A 21,795-nucleotide genomic window follows, 5' to 3' on the forward strand; every position below is an offset into this window, starting at 1 on the left:
TCAAATGGGGTCGGGGATGGGGGAGACTAGTGGAGAGGTAGGTTGGGGGCAGGGTGGGTCAAGTAAAGTAGGCCTGCTTTCGGGCGGGCTCCCTCATTCAGCCAGGACTAGGGAGAAGTCAGGGTAGAGGATGAACAGGAGAGGTTGCTCTTTTTCTGGACATCTTTATGCTGTCATAGAACACACACAGGTGAGTTGGGTCTTGGCTGTTTTATTAACATACTTTACAACTCAGTGTTGTTTCCCTGAACCTTAACTTTTCCATGAGGCAGGTGATACCGGTCATTAAATTCCCTTCCAGACCTGATGGTCATTGATTTTGTAGCCCCCACAAATTCCCATGGTGTGACACTGTCAGGGGTCCCGGCCACATGCTCTCTGACTGAGGGGAAAGGACAGAGCTCCCCATTCCCCCCAGCTTCCATGGGAGCAAACCCCCAGCTCCCGCTCCTGGCCTTACTCTTGGAGCACGAGGGTGATGCTGAGAAACGTGATTGTGACCTTGAGTGAATGAGCAGTCTGCATTTGAATCTTCCTGTGGGGTCTTGGGTTTTGCCAACCTTAAATAGGCATAAAGACACCTACTCACAGGGTTTTTGTGAGGATGAACTGATGTGTGTGCATGAAATAATATGTGCAAGGTGCCCAGGGTCGTGTGTAACACAGTGCTTGTACACTAAATGGGGGTAGTGATTCTTAGTATTTTAATTATTGATGATGGTGACTTGATCCACTGAGAGGGAACACAGCTTCGCCCTGAGGAGAGCATTTGGGGACCAAGGGTGAGGTTGCAGGGGTGCAAGGAGAGGCGTCTGGGTGCTCTGGCCTGCTAGACCCACCCTGAGCACTGGGCGGCAGCTGACTCTGGGATGGGCCCCTGGAACTTGCTCTCATTTTCAAGTCGTTGGAGCTTTGTTCATCAGTTCCTCCTAATTTGGGTGAAGTTCGCCATATGGAGAGCAGGGAACAGTGTTAAAAAAGCTTTCACACATAGATAGCACAGCACTTTCTCTGCTAAATGAGGACTCTCTTCCCCAGTACAGATTTCACACGCCGATCTCCAGGGTGTTGAGTTCCCTTGTCAACAGGGGTGGAGTTGTTGAGGCTCTTGGAGCCATTGTCTCTGGCTGGCCGGGTCCTGTTCCGACCCCAGGAGAAATCCCATCTTCTTTTTCCTCCCCCGGGGTGAGCGTTTTCTAGCCCTCTCAGGTGAAACAGCTTTACTTCCAAGGCCAGGCAGAGTGTACTCAGCTCCCCCCAGCTGCAGGTGGCTCGGCTGCCAGGCCCGGCTCACCGGGGTCTCCTGGGGCTCCCTCTGGATGCTGCTCTTGTGTTGCGTTTCCCGTCTGGAAGGGAGCTGGGTTGTTCTGAATTGAGCCCAAGCTCCCAGTTCCCCAACCCACGCACATTCTCTGGAACTTTCTCTCTCAGCCAAGACATCTGCCACGTGTGACTCCCTATCCTTCTTCCTCTATGTCCCCCTGGCCTGACTGCCTCAGTGCAGTTACTTTGGCTGTTAAGTAAACCTCTCAATGTGTCTTCTGGTGGCTTAAGTGTGCTGTTCTTCACCTCTGATGATGCCCCTCCTAGAGGTGCTCCAGAGTGCTCTCCCTCAGCCAGCAGCAAAAGGTCCCATCCAAGTTATCCACATTGTCCGGTTTTGTCTGCTCTCAAAGGGGCTGCCATTAGCTGGGATCAGTAAGCAATTTGTTGGGCTTCAACTCTTTTTTTGGTGACAAAAATAATGGTGGTAATTAGCCATTGATTGAGCACTTACTATGTGCTGGGTCCTACCTAGTATTATCTCATTTTCTACTCACAGTAACCAGGCATGATCTATTTAACTATCCTGACTTTAAAGAGGAGGAACCTGAGAGGCAGAGAGGTTAAGTGACTGGCACAACTAGTTAGTGGCAGAGCTGATGTTCAAACCTAGATCTACAGACTCCATATCTGTGCAATTTCCTTCAGCATACTGCCCCCGTCTGTCTCAGTGCTAACATTCAACTGCAACCAAAGATGCCCTACTCAGGGGTCAGGGGCAAAAACTATACACAAATAGAACTGAAGAATGAAACTAAAAAGGGGTATAGGAAGAGAGCTAGAATTTTTCTAGGCTGGCTGGCTTTGTGGAATGCTGTCCTGTGTTGGGAGAGAGAAGTGAGCTGCATGTGTCAGGGTCTGTGGCTTTGTTCCAGTGGAAATCTGCCACCTACATGGGTTTGGCTGTCCTTGGCACCCCTGCACAGCACAGCAGGGTCTGGCTTTGCCACCCTGTGGGAGGAAGAGGAGCTTGAAATTGTTTTTGAGATATTTTCATTGATTTTCTTTAATGCACGGAAACATTTCCATTCACACATGAGCTTAGTTGATGCGGAGAAGAGAAAAGATTTGACACAAATTTAGGGGGCTGGGTGGAGCTCAGGGAGGGAGCCTGAGTGCCTTGTCGATTGCTCTTCAATTTATCAGTATTTTCCTGGAGTTCCTTTGCAAAGCCCTCTGCTTAATCTCGCCACTGCGTGGGAGGATTGGAAGAGGAAATGTGGCTTCCCAGGTCCCTTGGCTTCCAGATCTGTTTAAGCTGGGCAGCTCGGCCCCTGCTCTGTTTAAACCCATGTGCTGAAACTATAGCACCAAAGCTGTCCTGGTTTTCTCAGAGAGTATGTAGCCTTCAGGTTAGAGTTCTAGGTTCCCAAAAGGAAAAAGTAGGGTAAAGTGGGACAGCCATGCATTGTGGGGTATGGGATATGATGTGAGGCCCAGAGCAGAGGTGCACTCCCACCTGTAATTTACAATGGAAACAACTCTACACTGTGAAACAGCTGTCAGAACGGCCCTGAAGCTCCAACAATGCTTACAGACAAGACAAAAAGGCAAAAGCAAAGCATCATGGATCTGGTTCTTAAGGAGACCTATCCTGGTGGAGGGTAGTGAGGAGTGTGAGTAGGAGTGGGTGTGGCAGGAGAGAGAAAAACTGGAATCCCAGTTGTCTGCTTCACGGCCCATTCCTGAGGGCTGCCAGAGTCCCCAAGGCCCACAGGTGAATGTCCTCAAAGCCTCACAGAAGGCTCCCCCTCAATTTCCCTTGGTTGACCCCTGTATTAGCTTGTTTGGGATGCCGAGACAAAGTACTATGAACTGGGTAGTTTACGGGTTTACTCTCACACTTCCGGAGGCTGGAAATCTGAGATCAAGGTGCTGGCAGGGCCACGCTCCCTCTGAACATGCAGGGCAGACCCCATGCACGCCTCTCTCCTGGCTTCTGGTGCTTCCTTGGCTTTATGGCAGCATCACTCCAGTCTTCACACAGCGTTATCCCTGGGTGATGTCTGTCTCTGTATGCAAATTTTCCCTTCTGATAAGGACACCAGTCATATTGGATTAGGGCCCATCCTAATGACTTTGTTTTCACTTAGTCACCTCTTTAAAGACCCAGTTTCCAAATAAGGTCACATTTTGAGGTACTAGGGGTTAGGATTCCAACATATGTTTGGTTTTTTTGTTTGTTCATTTTTTTGAGACAGAGTTTCCGTCTTGTTGGAGTGGTGTGATCTCGGCTCACACTGTAACCTCTGCCTCCAGGGTTCAAGTGATTCTCCTGCCCCAGCCTCCCGAGTAGCTGGGATTACAGGTGCGCGCCACCATGCCTGGCTAATTTTTTGTATTTTTAGTAGAGACAATGTTTCACCATGTTGACCAGGCTGGTCTCTAACTCCTGACCTCAGGTGATCCACCCACCTTGGCCTCCCAAAGTGTGGGGATTACAGGTGTGAGCCACTGCGCCCGGCCCTCCAATGTATCTTTTTTGAGAGGACACAATTAAATCCTAATAGTCTGTCTCTTCATTAGGTATGTCTTTTTCGGTTAGCCACTTGTAAAATTTGAATGAGACCAAATAGTATAGTGAGAAAAACATGGGTTTGACATCCATACAGGGCTATGTTCTAACCCTGGGGCTCCAGGTTGCCAGCTGTGTGATGGTGGAACCCACCACCCCTCAGCCTCTCTTACCCCTGCTTCCTCAGTGGAAATGACTGGTCAAATCTCTCTTTCATTGATTGAATGTGAGGTTGAATGAACTAAAGGGCCTGGTGTGGTACCTGCTACGTGGTAGGTGCTCCCAACACTTCTGTGAGGCACAGAGAAAGGTTGTTACCATCCTGGCTTGCAGATAAAGGTGCTCAGGCTTGGAGATGACCTGACCTGGAGGCAGCATCACAGCCATCTCTGGCAGACCCTGGGTCCCCGTCTCCCTCTGCCTAGTGTGGTAATAGTGCCAACCTCATGGGATTGAATTTACTATTTATGTGTTTTAACCTTGCTTCTTCCCTTGCTAGACCCCAAGTTCCTAGAGGACTGTGACTAAACTTACTCACTTTTTTTTGGTATTATTTTTTATTGTGGCAAAATATACATAAAAGTTACCATTGAAACCATTTTAAAGTGTACAGTTCAGTGGCACTAAGGACATTCACATCGCCACTGTCCAGCTCCAGAATTTTTTCATCTTCACGAATGGAAACTCTGTACCCGTTAAACACCAGCTCCCATTCCCTCCTTCCTCCAGCCCTCATCTCTATGAATTTAACTTCTCTAGGTACTGCATATAAGTGAAATCATACAGTATATGTCCTTATGTGACTAGCTTATTTCACTTAGCATAATGTCTTCAAATGGTTCATCCATGTTGTAGCATGTGTCAGAATTACATTCCTTTTTAAGACTGAATATTCTATTATAGGTATATGCCACATTTTGTTTATTCACTCATCTGTCAATGAATATCTGGTTTGTTTCCACCTTTTGGCTATTTTGAAGAATGCTGCTATGAACATTGGTGTACAAATGTCTGTTTGAGTCCCTGCTTTCAATTCTGGAAATATGCAGAAGTGGAATTGCTGGGTCTAACCTTATTTACCTTTGTATTCTAAGGGTTGATTATAGTATCTATAAAACCTTATTACTTATTAAGTGTTTGTTGAATGAATACATTAAGGAATGAGTGATTGAGTGAGTTGTTGAATAAGGAAAGAAACAATGAAGAGGAACTAGGCGAGGAGAAAGGGAGTCATCCTGACAGTGGGCATCATGCAGTCCATGGACTGTATTAGAAGGAAGGAGAAGGGAGTGGTCAGATTTTGCAAGAACTGTCCAACACATTGTTTGTATTGACACCATATTACACCTGCAAGGATTCAACCAAGGCATCTGCCTAATGCTTCCCTCAAAAAATTCTTCCAGAGGTAACAGAAGTACCAATAGGTTGATGCTCTTGCTTAATTACTACGGTGACCCAGGACACATTAGAAATTGGTCTGAAATGTTACACTTGCAGGGAACAGCCCTGAAGGCCTTTCCACCCACAGAAAAACCTGGAGTTTCACTAGCAAGGCATCCCTGTGACTTCTTCAGGCACCTACTTCCAGGAGCTCTGCAGACATGTGCCTACTTCATGTGTATCTTCTTGGCCTTGCAGAACCAGCTACAGGCACTGCCCACATGACCTGCTCCTTTTCCATCTGACACGAATGTCATGTGGCTGAATGTGACTTTATTTGTTTTTCTTTTGTTCGGAGCTGAGGACAAGCTGCCCATCTTCCTCTGAGCCCTGGATGCTGGGAGGCTGTGATTGGCAGCAGCCCAGGATGAGAGAGAAATGCGCCTCAGGTAGCAGATCTGCCAGAAAAATTCTGGCCAGTCTGGGCTCATTTCACCCCATTCTTGATGGCAGGAGTTTTGTATTTCTCTGGGCAACTCCCTCCTCTCATCCTTCAACCAGCCCCTAAGAAACTCAAGTCCCAGAGGCAGCAGCATCGGATCTGAGGCTTTCTTCTCATTTTGTCAGCTCATCGCCCAGATTTAGCCACCAGTTTGACAAGGAGAGTACCCAGGAGGGTGGCTTTGGGGGGTGAGGATGTCGACTGCAAATAGCTCAGCCAAGGCTCACTGCTGAAAACTTTATTTAAAAACTGCAGCATCACGCCGACCTTCTCTCTCTAGGTAGCTGAGAAGCCAGCAAGAGGAAAGGACTTCTTTCCTATGTCAAGCCTCTGTTAGTTCCAAGTGTTAGCAAATGCTCATCTTGAGGCACAGTTTCTTTCCTTATTTTGCCTTTAAAGTGGGAGCCTTGGAGGGGGAGCGGCAGGGGGCTGGTGGGGAAGGCAGGCCCAGAGGGGAGGCGGCGGGAGGAGGGGGCATGGGCTCGGTGAATAGCGAGCTCAAGAGCTCTTCTGCACAACGAGATTAGCGCGATGTGAGCATTTCCATGCCAAGGTGCTAACGCAATAATACACGCGAGTTTGCCAACTTTTCAAATTGAATGTATTTGATTATTTGCTTTTAATTAGTGTGAGTTTTGGAGTATGTACAGGATTGTCAGGGATACATGCAAAGCCTCCTACAGCCCATGAAGCCTCCCCTTGGTAAAGATGGTCCGGGATTGTTCTTTTTTAGCTGTGGAGAATGAGATTTAACAGCTCTGTTAAATGTTTTAGCCCATTTCCATTGTGCCTCTGTTTCAACCTATTGGCAAGACCAATTGAAGTGAGAAAATAAACCTCTTATCTGATCTGAATGCTGAGAGCTGCTCCTAAGAAGACTTTTCCAACTCAACTTCGGCTTTCTACGAACATCCCTGTTTTGTTTTTGTTTTGTGTTTTCTTTTCTTGTTCTTTCCAAAGGTGGCTGTTAAGCTGGCTTTCTCTCTTTTCCCTTCTCTATAAGTACATTTGAGGGAACATCTACACACATGAAAAAAAAGTAGATGGCAGGGAGGGAGAGGGGAAGAAATGGGTTTAGGTAACTTAGAAGCGTTTCGAGAGCTCTTTCTATCTGCCAAAGGCTTCAGAGCATTGGAGGTTTGTATCTCTCCATATGGTGCTGCTCAGGATGGCTGGTGCCCTTGTGTTACTCCAGGGGATAACAAGGCCATGGGCCTGGCCCAGGCCAGTGAGTGGTCAAGTTGGGTTTGAGCGTTAGTGCCCATGCTCCCATCTGCACCCTGATGGACAGTGCTCTCCTGGCTGGAATACCAGCTACTGCGACTTTCATTTTGTTGTTGTTTTATGCAGGATTTCACACCCTATTTCTCTTGGGCATTTTGCAGGCAATGGTCTTTTACCAAAATAAACCAAGTCCTTTTGTAGGCCCAAACTTCAAGAAGCAGGATGAGGTGTAGCAGCCCCTTCCCATCCTTCTTCCCTACCTGTTATATTTACTAAAGAGAAAAAGTATGTTGTGAGAGGCTTCCTCCGCCAGCACCGCTCTTCTTCCAGCATCCTCAGGCCTGTCCCTCAGCTTGCCTCTGTCCCAGGGCACTGTGACAAGGACAGAGGCTGAAGCCCACCCTCACATAGCCAGCCACTTTGTCCCTTCCTGCCCCAAGCTCACATCGCTGTTCCAGCAACTCACCAGGGCCACGGAGGAGCCGCCATGTAGCAGGGAAGCAAGACCCCTCATCCACATTCTGAGGATGGCCGCCCGCTCACCCATTACCTACACAATCTCTCAGTTACATTAAAAAAAAATCTTTCCCCCCCTTAACAATAGAGAGGAACAAATGGTTGACAAATAACAACAGCAGCAGCTCTCCAACAAAAGCACGCAATTATTACAATTATACTATCCTTGATTAGGCTGCCATGCATTGCATTTCAATGTAATTGATGTTGTAGGTTGACACATCGGACACCAAATATTCTCGCCTGTCCCTTCTCTCTTTTGTTTCAGAAGCTGATTTGCATTTTCTATGCTTTTAGTAATGAAGACTTAGCACTTTTCCTCCATTAGAAAAAAAAAGAGAGATACAATAATCTGCAACTCGGCACTTGTTTAAGGATTCTGACCCTCGAAAATACCACTTTGCTTCACACATTAGCTGCTTACAAAGAAGGAAGCTAATGTATCATCTAATTGGGCAAACCACTGCATCTGATTTCTCTCAATCAGACTATTAGCTTCGTAATTACCCATCTGCCTCGTGTGGAAAAACGGCAAGGCGCACACCCAGCTAATAACGTTCTCAAGAGCTCTCCACCACAATGAGAGGAGGCGACGTGGAGGGATATGGTCTCTAACCATTTCGGTGCCAAGGTGGCCACACAATGCAGGAGGGCTTTGCCAACCTTCCCCCGCCTGAATGTGTTTAATTATTTGTCTTTAATTAGTCAGAGTTTTTGAGGTCTGTTCAGGATTGCTGTCCCTGCTGCTGCTGCTGCGGTGGCGGTGGTGGTGGCCGGGGCGGATGCTGAAGGATGGTGACCAGCGGGAAGGTGGGGAGGCTTCCCGTGGCCTCTGCAGGAGACGCTTGGGTTGAGGGAGGAATGTCCCCGAGTTTGGCAGGTGTCCTCGAGAGAGAATAAAGATTCTCCCAAGATTGGAGTAGAGTGTTTTATACCTCTTTTTGTTCCTTTTCTTCTTCTTCTGTGGTTGAGCCCCCTTTTTCCCCATGTGGGTGAAGCTGCACCCTTTGCGGCAGAGCCAGAGTTAACCTGAGGACGAGGACATCAGTGGTGGCCTCCGCACTGCCAGGGTGTGAACATTCTGACTGCCAGGTGACCTCTCCAACTGGCTGTGGTTTCTCCTGGCTCCCTTGTGTCTGGTATTGTGTTCTAAACACCCTTTGGTTCAGTTTGGCTGCGGGAGGGCTTTTCTGCAGTCTGAATGAAGTTGTGAGTCCTGGGGCAGGTTGTGGAAGGCCTTCTTTTCTCCTCCTTCATAACCTGGGAGAGAAGGCTGGGCCACCTCATGCCCTCGGGGACTGGGGTGGCACGTGGATTTATTTGGGAAGGCTGGTAGGGCCGATTTTGGTGCAGACTCAAGTGAGTTTTTGCGGTCTCCTTCCCCCGTAACTAGAGTAGCTCAGCCATTATTTGTATATCCTTCTATGTCAATTTTATTTGAATAAAGGATTATGACTAAAATTTTTGAGACCAACTGGACACATATGGTTCGGCTACTAATGTCTAATGACTTAATGTCTATTTCAGGTCACTGAGCTGTGCCTGTTGGGATACCAGTATTCACTATCTAATGGTTGGTTAATTTAGCCCCATCACTGCTGCCGTTTAAATAGGCTAGCATATCAAATGGAGTCTTTTGGGGCTAACACAGTGATGAATTTTGCTTTTGTGTATTCTTTCGTAGTCAACATTTAATTGTGATATGATCTGAAAGACTCTGTGGTAGCTAATACTGAAGTATTAGATTGAGAACAGACATTTACATATTCAGTCTATCATCTAGGAAAACATAAAATAAAACCCCTACTATGTTTGTGTTATGATGACAGGCCCTCTAGCTGCTATGTATACTGGATGTAGCTCCTGTCTAATAGAACTTTGAGTTATAAATAAAAGGCAAGTTTGTTCCTTAGGCAAGTAAGAGCCCAAGTCTCAGAAGTCATCTGGTCTTGCTAAATGCTCCATCATGTTGGCCAGAGTTTTCCCATGTGGATGCATGGCACAAACTCTCCCACTTCAGCCAAATCACTGCCATCTTATAGTGCTCAGGCTTCCAGAAGTCAGTTCTTTTTATCTGTTTATAATATTGCATTGAAAGAGTTTGACTGATCTGTGATATTTTCCCTATTTTCTCTATAGGAAAACTGGGGACATTAAGAGCCATATGTATCTCTTTGTGTTTTGGAACTTTGTGGAAGATGCTGTCACTGCATCATACAGAACCTTATTTTTATAAAGACCATCTAAGAATTTTTTGTAGGTCTCTGTTTAAGGAAAGGTTCCGCTTCCCTTGAACCATATGCACACCCTGTATTTTATAACTGATGATCTTTTCCTTTTTGCTTTGGCTACTAGGAACCTCAAAGGCCAAATTTTAGCCCATATCCATAGGCTTGATAGGACTAGATGGCCTTTATTTTATGTGCTAATGTCACTAAAACTTTATTATTTTTCTGTCCATTTATAAATCATATTTTTTTGCTCTGGCTCCTATAAATATTTATTTTTCTTAAATCGTTTTGAATTATTATATGCATTTTTGTACAGTATCTAAATACTTGGTTGAAAAATGTCCTAGTGCAGAGACCAGAGAGGTTAAGTCATTTGCCTAAGTCACACAGGAATGAATGCAGTCAAGAAGTCTTTCTTGTGCCAAGAGCAGGTTTTTCCAAATGTTCTCGTGTTAGCTATGAAATCTGCTAAAATCAGCTTACCTTGTGATCGGCTCTGGCTTCTTAATTTATCTTTGGCAAGGTTCACATAATTTGTTAGCCTCCATTACAGCTTTCTTACTCTTCCCTGAAAGTCTAGGATGCTAAGCAGTAGGAATCCATCCAACAACATCCAGGGACTGAGGCAAAAGAAAAGATGCTCTCATGGCCTTCTGTGCTGTGGGGTTGACTTCCTGGTCTTCACAGTTGTGGTACCTGCCATTCCTTCTGTTATACTCTGAGAAGTCACGGTTTGCTACAGCCTCTGCATGGCCTTGAGGTCAAGGTGAGAAGTGACTTCCTCTCTCAGGGAGGAACTACAGAAGACCAGGGAACAGGTTTTCTGCCTCAGACTTTTCAGGAGCCTCACAGAGGCTGCCTCCTTTCAAACCAAGTTATATGAGAGAGTCTGGGACCTGTCAAACAGCTGCCTGGACACGCTCTCATTTTAGCTCCAAATGTGAATCATCTGTTTAGAGCAGGCCTATAGCAATCATCTTTTATTAGTTTTTACTTACTTTAAGCAGAGCCATTCTCCAGAGGCTGATATGAGAGACCTTCCCTTCCTTTCCCTTCCTCTCTTCTTTTTTACCTCCCTCTCTCTCCACCTCCCTCCCTCCCTCCCTTCCTCTCCCCTCCCTCCCTCCATCCCTCCCTCCCTTCCTTCTTTCCTCCCTCCCTCCCTCCCTTCCTTCCTTCCTTCCTTCCTTCCTTCCTTCCTTCCTCTTTCTCTCTCTCTCTCTCTCTTTCTTTCTTTCTCTCTCGCTCGCTCTTTATCTCCCTCCCTCCCTCCCTTCCTGCCTCCCTCCCTCCCTCCCTCTCTCTCTTTCTTTCTTTCGTCTTTCCTCTTTCTCTCTCCCCCTCTCTCTTTCTTGTGCTATAACTTTACTTGACAATCAGCAGCGATTAGTTCTCATATCCATTGACTGTGTAGATTTTTCAAAGTGGTGACAGATGCGTAGGTAACCAACACACAGAGCTTGTTTGCTGAACCCTCATCTTCGTTATATTTTCTGGACAACCTCACGTGGACACAGTATGAGACACTCCTCATTCCTTTGGCCCAGAGAGCTTTGTTGATTCTGGTGTCAATGTGCACATCTGGAATTCCCATCTCTTTCATGGCAAGTTTCTGGATCTCTTTGAGTGCCCAAGGGCCACACTTCTTGAGGTCCACTCGATGGCTGCCCTTGTGACTGTTGATGATGTGCTTTCTGGTCACCACTTCATTGACATCAGAATAGCCCCTTTTCTTCTCACTACCCTTTTTGTAGGAGCTATTCTGTTGCGCCCAGGTTGGAAAAAAAAATCTGGGAGTTTATTTTCAAAGACCTCCCCTGAAGTAGGATGTTCCTTTTTTCTTTTTTTCTTTCCGAGACAGGGTCTTGCTCTGTTGCCTAGGCTGGAGTGCAGTGGCACAGTCACAGCTCACTGCAACCTCTGCCTCCTGGGCTCAAGTGATCCTCCCACCTCAGCCTCCTGAGTAGTAGCTGGGACCACAGGCATATACCACCATGCCCAGCTAAGTTTTGTGCTTTTTGTAGAGATGGAGTTTTGCCATATTTCCCAGGCTGGTCTCTAATACCTGGACTCAAGTGATCCACCTGCCTCCTAAAGCCCTGGGATTACAGGTGTGAGCCACCATGCTAGGCCAACATTTCTGGAGTGGGGACATGTTAACAATTGTTTTTGAAATTGCTCTTTCCCTCGCTACCTTTTTATTGGAAAATGTTCTCTGACTTGTTGGCTTTTTCAAGAATACTTTTGAGAATTCAGTATCATCACCTCTTCCCCACTCTCATAGACCTTAGAAAAACCGGATACTTGGAGCAGATAGTATGAAACAGGCCCCCAAAGCAACTCTATGATGAATTCTAGTCTGAACACCTCTCAGGAAGTTCTTCTTCATCTCCACCCACTATCCCTCCTATTGCATTTTATCTCTGTTTCCTCTAGGTCTTTCCCCAGACGGAATGAGCATCATGCTAATACCCAGATAATTAGAAATATAGCCAACTTTCAGTGGATTGTAAGTAGATTATGTGGCAGTTTATCTCTGGCAAATCTTGCTTTCCTCTCTTAGTTAACATCTCTGTTGCTTACTTAATTTCTTTATTGCTTTTATAACCATTGCCATCTGCTACTGAAATTGGAGTTCAACAGGAACTAGAAGATTGAAACTTAAAATGAAAATAATTATTCTGAGGCCTGGGGAAAGTAGCAATCATGAAGGAAGGGTTGGCTCTGCTTAGACTGACCCTGGGCTACCTAGTGCCAGGTGAGCCTTCGCAGTCACCTAGTCGTCTTCCACTGGCTTACTGATGGGAAATCAAGGCCTTGATCAGGTAAGAGGCTTGTCAAATGTCACAGAGCTACTTGGAGGAAGTTCTAATACAAAGACCCAGTTCTGGATACCTCTCGAGTCTATCATGATTCTTACTTATCTGTCTTAAAGGTGAAACTGCCCATTTCCAGCATGGAATGTATTGAGCAGAATTGCACGGTGGGACAGAGCTGAGAAAATGAGATAGTTTTTAGTTTCACAGCTCCACAGGTAGTTTTTCTTCAGGGTGCAATTTCACGATTTTGTGTGCAATATCATGAATAACTAGGACATCAGATCTCCCCATAAGAAAAAGCAAGCAGAACCAGAGACTGTAGCACATATATACCAGGACAATTTGACATAAGGAATTATTTTGTGTTTATCTACTGTTTGGATTACCTATGTGATGACTCTCTTGCATTTCTGTGGATGATGAGGAATTGGTGTTATTTATGCCTTCATGTAGGAGTCGGAATATGTGCAACATCCTCAGCATCTGGACGAAGTCCAGTCTGTATTTTTTTTTCCCATCTGCTCCTGGTATTTTAAGTAAAAATGTTTGTATCTGCATCCCCCAAGCCCTGTTGTAAATTGTAAATCATGCCATTATATTTGGTAAAACCACAATGTCAAGCAACAATTCACAAAGCCACAAAGATTCTCTGGAGTAATTTTCCTGTTCTCATTGATCAATTTTATATTTTCCTCTTGGCCATATGCACACATTAAATGGCACTAATTCAGTGAGAAAACTCATAAGGGATAATATTTCAAGAGGCACAAATGGCAGCAATGCCTTTACAAGTATCTGTTTTATAATTGCCTCTGCACTCTACCTGAATTCGCGCTTGCCGTTGTTTCAGTTGAGTGAAATGGACACAGAAATGGGTTGGGGGTGGGGGAGTGTGGGAAGGGGGAGGAGAATGTTTTAGTTAAATTAGGTGTAAAGCCAGGAAAATCTCAAGTCAAAAACTGTGTGGCTGCAATTATTTCTTTCTTCTGGTGAGAATATTTATTATCTGCTCCTGAGAGATGACAGGTGGGGAGAATGGGCCAGCACTGCATGGGTGCTTACACTTGCAAAGCCCCCATTCAGGACTTGATGGGCAAGACTGTATCTAGGTTATTGATTTCTTATTTGACATTTTTAGATTTTTTTAATGAGATTTTTTTAAAGTAAACTTTTAGGTTCAAGAATAACAAGTATACGGAAAAGTACATAATTCCTAGTTATATGAGATTTTTTTTTCCAAAGTGAATACATCTGTGTAACCAACAGGCACATCAAGAGGCAGAAACTTAGTGGCTGCTCACAACACTCCCTCTTACCCTTTCTGGTCATTATCCACTCTCCCCTAAAGCTAACTAATATTCTGGTTTCTATTGCCATTAATTCATTATTCAGTATATATTCTTTTAGGTCTTGCTTCTTTTATTCCATGAGCATTATGTTTGTAAGATTCATTCCGTTTTTAGCGTATGGCAGTTATTTTGTTCATTTTCACTGCTCTATTGTATTCCATTGTTTGTGTGTATGTGTGTGTGTGTGTGTGTGTGTGTGTGTGTTACTATTTACCCATTCTATTACTGGTAGACATTTGAGTTGTTTTTGAGTTTTTGGCTTTTATGAATAATAGTGTTATGAACATTCTTGTACATGTGTTTTAATACACATTGTGTGTATTATGTGGGCATGCACTACGGATGAAATTGCTGATTTATAGGGACTATCTATGTTCAGATCTATTATAATGAAGATTTCCAAAGAGTGTTTCAGAGTGGTTGTACCAGTTGACAACAGCAAGGTATGAGAATTCCAGCTGCTCCACACCCTCACTAGCATTGAATATTGCCAGTTTTATTTAAAATGGCAGGGGCATACTGTATCTCATTGCAGTTTCAATTCTCATTTCCCACGTGCCTAATGACAGTGATCACCTTTTCATGTGTTTTTGAGAAGTGCCAGTATAAGTCTTTGCCCATATTTTAGAAATTGGGTTCTCTACTTTTTTGATTTGTTGTTCTTTATGTTTTCTAGATACAAGTCCTATGCACACTGGTGTGCACACACATATTTATTACTATTTACATAGCAAATATCTTTCCCCATTCCGTGACATGCCTTTTCACCCTCTTAATGCTATATTTTGGTGAGCTTTAATCCCTAGTTTTAATGAAGTACAATTTATAGTCATTTCCTTTATGGTTATTACTTTTAGTTAAAGAAACAGTTACTTATATTCAGCATTATAAATATATTCTCTTATTTTTATCTTCTAGAACTGCACTATCCAATTAAGTAACCACTAGCCTTGTGCAGTTATTTAAATTTTGTTTAACAGTTTTATTGGAGTGTAAATGACACACAATAAATGACACATTTTAAAGTGTACAGTTGGATGTTTTGACATATATACACCTGTGGAACCATTTAATCAGGATAGTAAACATAACCATCATCCCCCAAAAGCTTCCTTGTGTCTCATTGTAATGGGACAACCTTCCACCTCCCAACCTTTCATAGCCCCCCATCTTTAGGCAGCCACTGATCTGTTTTCTGTCATTGTAGATTAGTTTGTATTTTCTAGAATTTTACATAAAAGAATCATACAGCATGTAATCATTTCCCTTTTTTTTTTTTGGTCTTGCTCCTGTCAGCATAATTATTTCAGAAACTTATGTTGTTCAGTATATTGATATTTCATTTCTTTTATTGTTGAGTAATTTTCCATTGTATGAATGTACTACAATTTGTTTATTCACCTGTTGATGAACATCTGTGTTGTTTTCAGTTTTTAGCTATTGTAAATAAAGCTGCTATGAACATGTATTAATTTTCTATTTCTGTCATAACAAATTATCACAAATCTAGTGGCATGAAACAGCACAAATTTATTATCTTAAAGTTCTGTAGCTCAGAAGACTGATATGTGTCTCACTGGCCTAAGATCAAGGTGTCAGCAGGACTGAGTTCCTTTCTAGAAACCCTAGAGGAGAGTCTGTTTCCTGGCCTTTTCCAGTTTCTAGAGGTTAACCACGTTCCTAGCTCATGGACTGCTTCCTCTGTCTTCAAAGCCAGAAATATTGCATCTCTCTGACTTGTCTGATATGATCACATCTCTCTCTGACCACAGCTGGGAACAAATCTCTCTCTGCTTTTAAGAACTCTTGTGATTGGATCAAGTCTACCCTCATAATCCAGGATAATTTTCTCACATCAAAGTCAGTAACCTTAATTACAACTGCAAAGCCCCCTTTTCAGTGTAAGGTAAAATATTCACAGCTTCCAGGGATTAGAGTGTGGACATTTGGAAGATTGGTGTTGATTATTTTGCCTATTCTAAATTGTTCTTTAATTTCCTTTAGGTTAATACCTAGGCATGAAATGGCTGGATCATACGGTGTGTGTTTAACCTTTTAGAAAACTGAAAAATGGTTTTCCAAAGTGGCTGTAACATTTTACGTTGCCATTATCAATTTATGAGAGTTCCAGTTGCTGCGTATTCTCACCAACACTTGGTTTTCTGTGTTTTTGATGATAGCGATTATAGTTGGTGTATAGTGCCATCTCATTGTGACATTAATTTTAATTTCCCAAATGACTAATGATGTTGAGCATTTTTTATGTGTTTGGGTAAGTATCTATTCAAATCTTTTGCCCATTTAAAAAATTATTGTTTGGTTACTATTATTGAGTGTTGAAAGTTAAGAAAATATTATGGACTTACGTCTGTTATCAGATATATGACTTACAAATATTTTCTCCCAGTCTGTGGCTTGTTTTTTCCTTCTCTGAAGACTGTCTTTCAAAAAGCAGACAATTTAATTTTGAGAAAGTCCAATTTATAAATTTGTTCTTTTATAGAACTGCTTTTGTTGTATGTCTAAGACATTTTTCCCTAATACACATCACGAAGATTTTTTCTTACCTTTTTTTTTTTTACTGTGTATTAGTGTTTGTTTTTTCATTTAACAACATGCAGATAAGCAAAAAAAAAAAGCACTTACTCATTTGGTTAACATTTATACTGTTCTCCCATTATTTGTATAGTTGCTATTTCCATCTGGTATCACTTTCCTTCTGCCTAAAGGACGTCCTTTAACATTTCTTGGAGTACAGATATCCTGGTGATGAATTGTGTCAGCTTTTGTATTTCTGAAAAAGTCTTCATTTCACCTTGAGTTTTGAAAGATATTCTTGTTGGGTATAGAATTCTAGATTACACCTTTAAAAAAAATTCCCTTAAGTATCTTAAAGATATTCCACTATTTTCTCATCTGCATTGTTTCCAATGAGAAATCTGCTACCATTATTATCTTTGTTTCTCTTTCTTTCTTTCTTTCTTTTTTGTTGAGACAGAGTGTCGCTCTGTCACCCAGGCTGGAGTGCAGTGGCATGATCTCACCTCACTACAACCTCCGCCTCCTGGGTTCAACCAATTCTCCCACCTTGGCCTCCTGAGTAACTCAGACTACAGGTGCATGCCTCCACACCCAGCTAATTTTTGCATTTTTATTAGAGACAGCATTTTGCCATGTTGGCCAGGCTGGTCTCCAACTCCTGACCTCAAGTGATCCACCTGCCTCTGCCTCCCAGTGGGCTGGGATTACAGGCATGAGCCACTGCACCTGGCTATCTTTGTTTCTCTATATAACTGACTGTTTTTTTTTCTTCTGATTGCTTTTAAGATTTTCTCAGTCACTGGTATAGGACAATTAGATTACTATGTGCCTTGTTGTATTTTTTCTGTGTTTCTTTTTGTGGGGCTAGTAGAATGTTTTAAATTTGTGGGTTTATGGTTTTTATCAAATTTGGAAATTTTTCAACCATTATTTCTTCAAGTAATTTTTCTCTTTCTGCCTCCTCTTCTTTGATGATTCCATTTACAGCACTCCTATAATTAAGCTGCTTAGAGTGGTCCCACAGCATACTCATGCTGTCTTTATTTTTAGAAAATTCATTTTTCTGTGCTTCATTTTAAATAGTTTTTATTGTAATATTTTCAAGTTTACTAATATTTCTCCTGGAATGTCTATTCTGCTGTTAATTTCACTTAGAATATTTTCCATCTCAGACATTGTAGTTTTCTTTCTAGAAATTTATCTTTTAAAAAATATCTTCCAGTCCTCTACTTAAATTTTGTACATGTGGAATAGTGATAATAACCATTTTAATGTTCTTGTCTGCTAATTCTAACATTTGTGTCAGTTCTGGTTCTGCTTTGAATAATTTTTATTCTCATTATTGTTTGTTTTATCCTGTTTTTGCATAACTGGTAAAATTTTATTTTATGCAAGACATTGTAAATATTGCCTCATTGGGTACTAGATATTTTTATATTCCTGTAAGTATTCTTAGACTTTGTTTGGGGAAGTAGACAAGTTATTTGAAACAGTTTCATACTTTTCAATCTTGTTTGTAAGCTTTGTTAAGCAGAAACAGAGCAGTGTTTAGTTTATGTTTGCTCACTAATGAGGGAAGCCTCTGTGAGTACTCTACCTGATGCCCTGTGAATTATGAGGTTTTCCAATTTGGCTGGTGGGAACAGGTACTATTTCCAGCTTTGTGTCAATGCTGAGTACTGTTCTTTCTAATCCTTTCTTGTTGTTCTTTCCTGGGACTTGGGTAATTTCCTGACACACATGTTAATTAGTTCTTTGTTAAATACTTGATGGGAACTTGTGCAGATCTACAGAGTTTTCTATACACAGCTATCTCTCTGCCCCAGCCCCCACCCCTGTACTCTTTCCTGCCAACCCTAGCAGCCTTGATTTCCTTGGAGTCTGAATTCCATCTCCTCAAGTCAGAGAGTCCTCTGGGCTCTGCCTGAGTTCTCTCCCTGCTGCACATCCTGGAATCCTCTCAAGGCATTATGCTGAAGCAGTTGTAGGGCTCCCCTTGTTTGTTATGTCTTTCAGGGGTCGCTATTCTTTGTTGCTCAATATTGTGTTTAGAAAAACATTGCTTTGTAGTTTTGTCCTTTTTGGGAGTTTCTCAGGTAGAAGGGTAAAGCTGGCTTTCCAGTCCCTCTGGGTTGAACGCAACAGTCTTTGTGACAATTTAAATTTGAATTATTTTGTAAGTGAAATAAGGTAAAGTAAAATTAAATTAAATAAAAAGTTCAGTTCTTGAATCACAATGACTGCATTTCGAGTGTTCAATAGCTATATGTGGTTAATGTACAGCATTGTACTGTATAAATATAAAACATTTTCATCCCTATAGAAAGTTTAAGTGGAAAACTCTGTGATAGAATTATAATTTATTTATTTTACAAAAAGTACCTGGGTCTATTGTTCTGTATAGTATAACTTAAGAGTCAGGATAATATTGTTTTTTCAACATGGATGTCCAGGTGTGTTGTTTATCCTTGACTTTTGCATTTATACTAAATTTTTAGAAACATCAATTCCCAGAGGGAAAAAACATTCTGGGATATTGATTGGAATGCGTTGACTCTACATATCAAGTAGGGAGACCTGATGTCTTTAAAATTTACATTCTTCTTATTTATGAATATTGTTTATTCCTTTATTTGTTTAGACATTCTCTAACTCTTCTCAGTGATAATATTTTATAGCTCTCTTGGCAAAGGTTTTAGACACTTTTCAACAGATTTACTCCTAGGTATTTGAAATTTTGGTTGTTTTCATAAATAACATAATTTTCAAAATTTCATTTTCTAGTCTTTTGTTTCTGATACATAGAAATGCAATCCATTTTGTATATTGACCATTTGTCAGTGGCCTTGATGAACTCACTTATGTATTTTATCTGTGGATTATTTTTGGAATTTGTTTGTAACCAATTATATATCTATGGATAATGAGAGTTTTATATTTTCCTTTCAAATCTGTAGACTGTTTATATCTTTTTATTGCCGTATTACATTGACTAGGACCTCTAGGAGTATATTGTTCAACACTGTTGATGATAATAGACATCCCTATTTTGTCCCTGATCTCAGAGTAAAAACCTTCAGTATTGCACTATGAAAGTATGATGTGTGCTATAATTTTTCGAAGATCCCCTTTATCAAATTAAGGAAGTTCTTTTTAAAATTTCTAGATTGCAAAGAATATTTTTAAAAATTATAAACAGGTGTTGGATATTATTAAATGTTTTTTCTGCATCTATTGAAATGGTTATATATTTTGTTCTTCATCTTTTTGGTCAATGAGATAAATTGCATTGACTGATGTTCAAATTCTAAATTAACACTGTATTCTTTGAATAAAATTATTTGGTTGTAATGTAATTTTTTTATGTATCACAGGATTCTTTTTGCTTATATTTTTGTTAGGACTTTTGAGTTTAAAAGAGATAACCGCTTGTTTTTTTACTCTTGTGATGTGCTTGTTTGGTTTTGCTACCAAGGTTATACTGGTTTTACATTATAAGCTTCAAAAAGTTGATGTAAGATTGGGGCTTCTTTCTTAAATATTTAGAAAAATTAACAGATAAGGATATCTGGGTCTAGAATTTTCTTTGTGGGTGAGTTTTAAACTATCAATTCAATTTACTAAATAGATACACACTATTCAGATTTTTTATTTGCTATTGTGTCAGGTTTGCTATATTGTGTTTTTAAATTAATTTGTCAATTTTGCTTAATTTTTCTGCCTTTTGTTTTTTTTTGTTTATAATTCGCTGGGATTTTTTTAGCTTTTTGACTTGAATGCTTAGATAATTAATTTTCAGCCTTTACAATCTCCTAATATGTGAATTTAAAGCTTAAGTTTTCCTCTAAACACTGCTTTAGTTGCATTTTACAAGTTTTAGTAATATATTTTATATTTCATTCAAAATATTTTCTGATTTTCTTTTTTATTTCTTCTTTGATTTATGTTATTTATAAATTTATTTCAATTCATTTTTTTACTCTGTGTCTGTTTCTTCATTTTCTGTGTATCTATCTTCCAGTTGAATAACTTCTTCTGCTGTATCTAATCTGGTGTTCAACTCATCTCTTTACTTCTTAACATTTGTAATTGTATTTTTGATGTGTTAGAAGTTATATCTGATTCCTTTAAAAATAATTTTCTGGTGACATTTCCGTTTTGCCATCCATTTTCTTGAACACATTAATTATAATAGTTTCTGATCAATGTCTGATACCTCAAATATCTGGATCATTTTTGAGTCTGTTTCTATTGTCTGTTTTTTCTCCGTAGTCTCAGTCATTTGGTCTTATCTCCTTGTATGACTCATAATTTTCTATTAAGTGCTGGATATTGTATATGAAAAATCATGAGTTTCTGATGATACTATTTTCCTCTAGAGAAGATTTAATTTTCTTTTTTTGACCAGTAATTAGAAAAGGGCAAATTACTCTGAGTCAATTGTGAATTGAGATGGTTCAAGTCAGTTTCAGGTTTATATGAGTTGGTTAATTTCTAGTTTCCCTTTCTGGCATCTCAACTGAAAGTCAGGTGTCTAATTGAGGCTGCTCCTCCTTAGTGGGCTTCATAGTCTACTTTGTCTTTATACTAAAAACAGCTTACAAAATTTTTTCTTGCATTTGTAGCCATTTAATACCTATTTTCTACTTGAATTCTCAGCCTCTCATTCTAGTACAGCTTAGGATTCAGCAAATACTTCAACAACAAAAGCTATTGAAAATTTTGGTCTTATTTCTTTGAGGCTCTTGTTTCTCTGGAATCTTGGTTTCTTTTTTTTTTTTTTTTTTTGAGATGGAGTCTCGCTCTGTCACCCAGGCTGGAGTGCAGTGGTGTGATCTTGGCTCACTGCAAGCTCCGCCTCCCGGGTTCACACCATTCTCCTGCCTCAGCCTCCCGAGTAGCTGGGACTACAGGCACGTGCCACCACACCCAGCTAATTTTTTGTATTTTTTAGTAGAGACGGGGTTTCACCATGTTAGCCAGGATGGTCTCGATCTCCTGACCTCATGATCCACCCGCCTCGGCCTCCCAAAGTGCTGGGATTACAGGTGTGAGCCACTGCGCCTGGCCAGAATCTTGGTTTCTTAAGTTATAACTGCCCTGATACACCTGAATTCCAACTTTTGTATTCCCAACACCATGGGGTTTCCAAATGCTCTAGGTCATGTTGCCCCATGATGTGAATTGGCATATGCCCTTACAGGAAAAACCAGCACAGAAAGTCTAGCTCACTTCAATGTGTGTTTCTCATTTCTCCAGGATATTAATTTTCACTCTCTGATGCCCCACCCCCACCCATGTTTTATAATTCTTCTTGGCAGACACATTGGTTTGATGCAAGCAACTCATCCATAGTTAAATTGACGATTAATTTTCTTGCTAAGAGTTGCTTATT

The 21,795-nt window shown here is 41.4% G+C and overlaps 1 protein-coding gene and 1 pseudogene across 1 annotated transcript in view, besides 1 other annotated feature; one reads left to right on the top strand and one right to left on the bottom strand.

Annotated features, from left to right (window-relative positions):
* The window catches only part of RPS6KC1 (ribosomal protein S6 kinase C1), an 811,495-nt gene that overhangs the window by 366,383 nt on the left and 423,317 nt on the right, over nt 1-21,795 (top strand). The window lies entirely within an intron of this gene.
* Nucleotides 6,998-8,558: an enhancer, noted in NCBI's record as "VISTA enhancer hs204". NCBI's record gives its function as "enhancer in: forebrain[4/5]" and the evidence as "EXISTENCE:transgenic organism evidence [ECO:0001131][PMID:17130149]".
* Nucleotides 11,094-11,441, bottom strand: RPL31P13 (ribosomal protein L31 pseudogene 13; annotated as a pseudogene).

Source organism: Homo sapiens, chromosome 1, assembly GCF_000001405.40.
Source record: "Homo sapiens chromosome 1, GRCh38.p14 Primary Assembly".
NCBI lineage: Eukaryota > Metazoa > Chordata > Mammalia > Primates > Hominidae > Homo > Homo sapiens.